Source organism: Homo sapiens, chromosome 2, assembly GCF_000001405.40.
Source record: "Homo sapiens chromosome 2, GRCh38.p14 Primary Assembly".
NCBI lineage: Eukaryota > Metazoa > Chordata > Mammalia > Primates > Hominidae > Homo > Homo sapiens.
The window spans coordinates 186,677,125-186,685,529 of record NC_000002.12 but is presented as its reverse complement, the minus strand read 5'-3'; the positions used below and the strand labels follow the sequence as shown (position 1 = coordinate 186,685,529).

Below are 8,405 nucleotides of genomic sequence, written 5' to 3'. Positions count from 1 at the left end.
TCATGTCTGCTAAATTGTTTGTGGGTCTGTTTCTATTGACTGATTTTTCTCAAAACTCTGGGTTATATTTTCTCACATTTTCCTGTTTCTTCCCATTCTTCCCCACCCTCCTCCCCTCCATGACATTGTGGATGATACATTGCAGAGTCTCTATGTTGTGTCATCTTCCTCTGAAAGTAAGTCTTTACCAGCAGTCAGTTAAATTACAGGTGTATCATAAACTTGGGGAAGCTTGGTTTTACAGTTTGTTAGGGTGGGCCTGTTTTGGCTTTTTCCTTCATCCTAGGGTGAATTAATTAATCTTTGGATGTACTACTTATTCCTAAGGCATAGATCCAATGGGGTTTCAATGGAAAAATGGGTTTTTTGAAGCCCTGTAACTAGTAAGACTTGAACTTTCATCTCTTGTTTCTTGTGCAGTGGACAGTAGTAGCTGGAATAACTGCTCCATTCTTTCAGCCTTCCCTCTGTTGTTTTCCTCTGGGCCCCTTATAGCCTCACTCAGTGCTGGGTTCAGCCAAGGATTTGAGGGAAATATTTCCCACCTCCCACCCTGTGACTGCTTCCTTTCCTGGATTTTTCTCCTCAATTTCTAGCCATAGTGGCAGTCTCATCATTCCAGAAAGAAAGACAGCTTTCTGTTGTATTCTATCCGTTCCATAGGGAGTAACCTCAGGGGTAAATGTAGCTGCCTTCTTTAACAGTTAAATCCCCTCCAATTTCTGCCTGCTTTCAGTAACTTCAATGTCTTCAAAGGATTGTTTTCCACCCTATTTTGTTAAGAATTTATCATTGTTATCTGATAAAAGCTATCCTGCCATTATTGAAATTGGAAACCCCTATTAAACTTTAAATGCCTATGATTCTGTTCTTGGTCACTAAAATTATTTATAATCTTTTTTTTAATCAAGCATGTCAAAGTATTATGATATCTATGATCAAGTTGCTTTGTTTACAAGAAAGTTTTTAATTAAAAAAAATTTTTTTTGTAGAGATGGGGGTCTCACTGTCTTGCCCAGACTGGTCTAGAACTCCTGGCCTCAAGCAAACCTCCTACCTTGGCCTCCCAAAATGTCAAGATTACAGACATGAGCCACTGTGCCCAGCTGGTTGCCTTTAGATTTAGCTTATGTACAAGCAACAGACTGAACAAATGCAAAGGGTATTTGGGGTATAACCTAGCCAAAGAGTGGTATGGTAAACTCAGCAGGTAATTCTGATCCATTCATGATTTCAGCAGGCTCTTCATCAGGAGTTACAAACTCAAATTCCTACAATGGCTAGGCAAATGAGTAATGAGAACTTAGTCTCGTGAAATAAACGGAAGTCTCTCTAGGATTTATGGTAACCCCAAAATTGCTTGACCATCTTAGTGCAGACCTTACTCAGTTCCAATGCTGTATCCAAGCAAGAACACAGGCTCCTATCCTCAAGAATACCGTGGCTCTTAGAATTCAGAATCTCTGTCTTTGGGGTATTTATAATACATTAATGGTGCCAACTAGTTCATTTATTTTTAAAATACCTTGAGGCCAAACAAAACAACATCAGGCCACTGTTTGCAACTTTGTGATTTTGCTCCTGATCCAAGATATTCCCTGGGATTGTTCTATCTCATCTCTTGATGCTAATCCTGACCCTCCTTCTCCCAATATGTTCTAGATCTGCTCTCCTCAAGTTTTCCTTCTTTCCTTATCTACATCATATCCTTTAAAATGTGTTTTGCCCCTTAATGTACAAAACTGCTCAAGAATTTTCCATCTGTAAAACAAACTTTCCTACTTTTGCTTTCACCTCAAACTACAGCCCGTTCTCTTCCTTTCTAAGCCTAGCCAAGCCTAATGCCTATCCACTGCTTGACCCACTGTAATCCGGGTTTAGTGCTTGACCACACCACTGAAATGGCTTTCTGTAAGGTCACGAATAACCCACTCTTCTCTTACTTTGTTTCTCTATGGTTACTTTGTTTCTCTATGGTCTTGCGTCACAGTCTCTCTTGACTTTTTTTTTTTTACTTCTATAGCCAAGCCTCCTGGATCCTGGCCATCCCATCCTCCTTTTAAATGTAAAAATTTACTGCACTGCCTTCTTCCTGTCTCCTTACTTTACACATTTCTCTTGAACAATCTCATCCATTAGCTTCTATTAATACCCATATTATTTCTCTGGCTTTGATCTTTCTCCTGAATACCAAGGCTTATGTTTACAAGAACCTGCTGGAAATTTCCATCTGGATATGCCATAAGTACCTCAAATGTAATGTACCTTTTCCTCTCCTAAACTCTCTGCTCTTCCCCAAATCTCTGCCCCTTTCCTATTTCCTGCCTCAGTTCTCAGTCCAGCCAATCACCCAACCCAGAAACCTATGGATTCTACATCATACATTATCCTAAATATGTCTCCTTCTTTCCATTCCCATTGTTACTGGCCTGGTTTATTTAAGCCCTTATCACCTCTTCTTGGCAGTAATATGAAAATATTGCCAGCCATCATTCTGTCTTCTAATATGTTAATATACTAATATACATAAGTACTTTGCATATATTTAATATTTCCAAAGATAACACTACATGATGAGGTAGCTATTACGATGTCCATCATATAGGATATAATAAAAAGGTATGGAGGGGCTAGGTGGTTTCTGCAAGGAAAGACACTACTGTAGAACACATTAAGAGAGAACATCCTGGGGACATAACAAAGCTCTACCACACGCTAGTGTGAGAGCTTTGATAATCATTCTCTGAGCTGATTTCAAATCAATAAAATGGGTATCAATATAGTATCTATAATATTAGCTATTATATAAATTATTCATAATAAATAGACATATCACCAAAGCAAAATACCAAAGCTACTTCTTAGAAATAAGTAGTATAATTTCTTTTTCTAAAACGCATACAGTTCTGTCACTTTTTGCCAACATGGCTGCCGGTGGTTGAATTTTATCGTATTTCAGGCCTGTTCAAGAATGTTTCTTCATATGGTTTGGCTGTGTCCCCACCCAAAATCTCATCTCAAATTGTAATTCCCATAATCCCTACAATCCCTACATGTCAAAGAAGAGACCAGATGGAGGTAACTTAATCATGGGGGCAGTTTCCCCCATGCTGTTCTATTGATAGTGAGTTCTCACGAGATCTGACGGTTTATAAGTGTTTGGTAGTTCCGCCTGCATTCATTTTTCATCATGCTGCCTTGTGAAGAAGGTGCCTTGTTTCCCCTTTGCCTTTAGCCATGATTATGTTTCCTGAGGCCTCCCCAGCCATGCTGAATTGTGAGTCAATTAAAACTCTTTCCTTTATAAATTACCCAGTCTCAGGCAGTTCTTTTATAGCAGTGTGAAACAGACTAATACAACTCTCTATAATGGCTTGCCTCATTAATGATTTATCACCATTATAAGGTTCGAAGGATGTTTAAAATTAATCTTGGAAAAGAGAATTCCACGGCTCAAAATTTTCTTCTTGGACCAGTCAAGTGAATGATGGAAGAGACTTACTGGATAAGCACTTAACATATGCGTTTGATAACCCCTTTTCTTGCATTTTCACAAAGTCCTCACAAATTTACCCTCTGTGGACCAAGATACTTCCACAGAGGGTAAATTTGTAAGTGACTGGGAAGAGCTTTGAACCCAAGTGGTTTCAACGGTTTTCAAAATGATTTCAGGAAGGGCATGGTGGCTCACACCTGTAATCCCAGCACTCTGGGGGGACAAGGCAGGCGATCACTTGAGCTCAGGAGTTTGAGACCAGCTTGGGCAACATGGCAAGACCCCATCTCAAAAAAATAAAATCCTTTCATATGTGTTATCTTATTTGATCCTAAAGAGCAACTAGTAAGTCAGGCAGGACAGAAAGGCTCTGCCCATTTTCTAATTCTCACACTCAAAATACTTCCATGTGTAGGTGCTGTACATTTTACATCTTAATTGGAGCCAAAATATCAAGTATGGTGGTCAGGATAGGGGTAGTTATGACTTGCTGGTCCAGGGGAAATATCACATCTAACTAAGCATATAGTGTTAGAAGTAAGGACAGTGGTTACTTTTGCAGGGCAGGGTGAGATATGATTAGAAAGAGACAGAAGGGGGCTTGTGGATGCTGGCAATACTCTATCTTATTTCCATAGGAATTTACGGTGGTGTATTATGCTACTTCAGTATAATTTCCCAAGCATCTCAACACTTAATTTTCTTCTTGGTACTTTTCATTTATAAAAATAGGTATTTTTATACTAGAATTGCATATGTATATTGCAACTGCATATATGCAATGACATATATACACTATAATTAAAAATTATAAAAGATGTAAATGTGCATTTTAAAAGGAATCTGATAATGTAAAAATAATAAAGGTTAGCATAATGAATTTAGAAATGTTTGTTTAGAAATAAAATAATTCTTATATTTCAGGCAAATACATATTTGCCTTTCTAAGGATGAATTTTAATGTGGTACATTTTGCTCTTTTTGTGTTTCTTTTCATCAAATAACTGACATTCAAGATTTGAAGTTTTACAGAAAGTTACCTCTGAGGTCATCCTTTTAGTGCATTATTGCTAGCTCATGTAATCAAAAAACAAAAACACGTCACAGAAAGGATAAACCCCATACACAAAAGTGGTACCATATGCTTATGTTTATTGTACAGTCACAAGTTACATGTTGTAAATCAAGCAGAACACTGTACCAGTTTTCACTAACTCAAATCAAGTTAGCAAATTACAAATTTTAGAACAGATTCATTTTCTGTCTCACCCAATGTGGGTGACCACAAAGATATTTACTTTCTATGTTATTAGGTAGCAAATTAATTTGATATACTACACAGCTTCCAAGTTACCTTAGGATATTTCAAAGTGTTTCAAAACTGGTAAAGAATAATTCATTTCCAGCCTGAAATACAATGCAGAATGGACCATTTAGGGGTAAATAACCTCACTTAATCACTCTTTCCTGCTAACAAAAATAATACAAATATTTGTTTATATTAGGCTTACTAAATTAATGACAACTTTGAAATTATCTAGATTTGGTTACATTGTTATATTGCACTTGAGAACAATGACAAAAAACATCAAAGATTCAGTACCTCTCCCAAGAAGTTCATTATATATCAGAAATTAAAATGAAATATAAGCATATATTGCATGCTGCATATTTCTATCGTTCAAACCAGCCAACCAACAAACTAAAAGGAATACTCTCCAAAACACTGAGTATTAAGTAATTTCATCTGCCTTTTTTGATCCTACAATCATTTTTCAAATTTTAGGTGTTTTTCTTTAAATTATTCATCAAACTACTACATATACAAGCTATCCAAGAATGCAAACAAGGTGACATTGAGATGGGTAGTGGCTGCACATAGGTATTCCAAGAACGACTCATTCTTCTCCACCAAGCTCATCATTACATTTTGCAACTTAGGAAGATCTGCCAACTTACAAATTCTGTTTGCCTTACAAAAATCGCTGATCTATTATATACAATACTTTTATCACACAAATCTCTCCCTTAGGGTCATGATTCACTATCAAAAATCTTTCACAGCCCTCTTAAGCCAGTAAAGTCTCTTTTATTAATACTTGAGTTTTCTTTATGGAAATGTAAGTGTTAATGAGAATTAACTATGAATAAGTAGTTTCATAACACAGGTAGAATGATGGCAATAATATTTTGACTAATTGTTTTACCTTTCAGATTCAGAATTACAGTGATAATCGTTAAGAGAAAAGAGAAACAGAAAAAATGACTCACATGTATTTTTCTCAAAATATCAATTCTGAAATAAATACCTATATAAAAATCAATATCAGTATCAATATTTCTTACCAATGTCAAATGTTTTTAATATCTTCTAGTTCATTCATGTTTTCTTAAAACTGAATCAGATCATAAAAATTTTACATTTCAAAATGGATTTTTATTCTCAATAAATCACAAATATGGTAGTATTTCAAATGTTTTAGAGATTTAAAGTTTTCATAGGGCAATTTTTTGATATTTAATCATGATAAAAAAAAATCCCACCATTTTCTTCAGAAAGTAGGCTTTCAAATTACTCTTCTCCATATTTTTGTAGATATATAAATGTTCATTTTTTGAAGGAAAATCTATGCTATTATACAAAACTATATTTCATAAAGGTAATTTAAGATATCATGTTAATTTCTAAATTACAGCATCTTTCAATCTCCAATACAAGATTACTTTCAAGATAGATGCCATAAAAGGAATAGATGGCACAAAAGCAAATTCTAACACTTTTGCCAAAGAGTGACTTTCTATCCAACATATTTTCAGAAATGACTGTTACTAGGTGGTAAAACTGTTAGGGTAAAATTTGTTATAGACTAACTTACTGATTGGTGGCAGGCAACACTTGGCCCTAGGATAAAAATATTTTTCTTAAAAAATTTTAAATTTATTGGTAATAAAAATACTTACTGCATATGATTAAGCTCTTTCAAGCTACTAATAAAAATCTATACTCCAAGACCCATTACTTTTGAAATTCACTAAAGCTAAAATAGAAGGTTTTGTCTAGAGTCCTACCTTGTATACCTCAACTAAATGTGCTCCTATTTTACGAATATATTCTCAAGATTAGCTCAGTCAACTTGTGCATGAAATTATGAGATATGGCAAGATAAATTTCAATCATTTTTAAAACACAGCAAAATAGTCAATTATTTAAGGGAAATATTTATCATTACCTAATGAGGACAGCAGTTAAAGAGCTATTAAACTCTCCATTTCTAATGTACAACATGATGTAATTGCACAAAAATAGGTATAACTGATCATCATCCCCAGGCCTTGAGGAACTGTGAATAAATCATATATTCCTCTAGAAGGTTCACCACTCTACAGAGCCATATAAAACTACAACTTGCCACCTATGTGGCTTTTATTAATAATCCTAGAAAAGTAATTTATACTAACGAACTTCAGAAAGGTTTAAAAGGTTTTCAGTAACTTGAACTGCTTATAAAAATACCTTTTAGAAGTTATTCTGACAGCCGAGACTGATTTTACACATTACCTTGCTTAAACAGAGGTAATATTCCTGTAACATCATGCTATTGCTAGAAGTAAATCAGTGAGTTGCCTTAAGAGTTTTTATTCCAAGCATTACTCATAAAGTTGGGGTAAGGGGTCCAGGTTCCTGTCAACTGTAAAGATTTCTCACTGATCTTGACCCATTCTCAGTAACAGTTTTGGAAATATAAGGAAAAGTACATGAATGGAGGAAAATAAATTAATACTAACTAAAAACTCTGCTCTACTCTAAGAATGTAATACTTACTATATGCATAAGCAACTATCTCAAAGAACTACACAGTATTTTAATAAAAATGCTTTTTTTATACTGTAAATAGCCAGACTAAAACAATGGAATAAATATGCTTTGGAAATAATTTCCAACTCCATATGGCTTTAAGCATTATGATATTCAGGTGAAATTAAACAATTACACAAAAGAGCCATTTGTGATTATGGAACTAATTTTTAGTATAGGTTGGCTTGAAGGATTTGACCTAAAATTTATACAAGTTAAAAATGTAATAAAATATTGTGGATTTAATATAAACAGAAGTGTAATAGGATCTACCAGATTTTCATACTAAAACAAAATATTGTACCTTTGTTATTAAAAGCAAGAATTTGGATGGTATCATGTATGTGTTTATAAAATTCTACCATATGAGTGATTAAAAAAATCCAAGTTCATGCAGTTATAAAGTCTTTAGTATTCTGAAAAGTAAACTGTAGTGTAATATGTATTAACATTAAGTACCTATACAAAAGACATGATTGCTAAGGTCCAAATTTGGACTGCTTTAAAACAACAACAACAACAACAACAACAACAACAAATAAAGTTCCGTACATTAAATCAGAAACAGTAACTGAAGGAGGTACTATTTTATATAAAGTAGTAAATCAGGCACTACCTGTCTTATATACATTGAATAAAAACTATCCCTTGAAATTTTATTATTTAAATACCTAAAAACACAAGTCACCCTATGTTATTAAATGTATGTCTGAACTTATTTATAAGGAGAAGGTTGACAAATATAATTCTCATTTTGTGGTTAATGCCAATTAGCACTATCAGCAGTAAAGCCTTGGATTTTTACTCCTCATGAAGAAAGTTTAAATCTATAATAAAGTTGCTAATTCTAGTGGGTCAAGATGTAGCATAACTTAAAAACTGCAGTTAAGTTTCTGAGTTTCCTTCACCATTTTCATGAGGTTGAAGCTGCTCCCTTTCTTGTTCTTCTTGAGGTGGCCGGACCCGTTTAAAAAAGCCCATCTGTCAGTTGAAGAAAAACCATTATTACTGTCACATCAGTGTAGAATACGAAAAGTATTTTTTGGGTGACTA

The 8,405-nt window shown here is 34.4% G+C and overlaps 1 protein-coding gene across 4 annotated transcripts in view; it reads right to left on the bottom strand.

Moving 5' to 3' along the window:
- Window positions 1-4,628: 4,628 nt before the first annotated feature.
- The window catches only part of ITGAV (integrin subunit alpha V), a 90,846-nt gene continuing 87,069 nt past the window's right edge, over window positions 4,629-8,405 (bottom strand). For all 4 annotated transcript variants that reach the window (NM_002210.5, NM_001145000.3, NM_001144999.3 and 1 more), the window contains one exon: window positions 4,629-8,333. In NM_002210.5, coding sequence (NP_002201.2) covers window positions 8,238-8,333 — 96 coding nt within the window. In that variant the 3' untranslated portion in view covers window positions 4,629-8,237. The remainder of the gene's footprint in view (window positions 8,334-8,405) is intronic.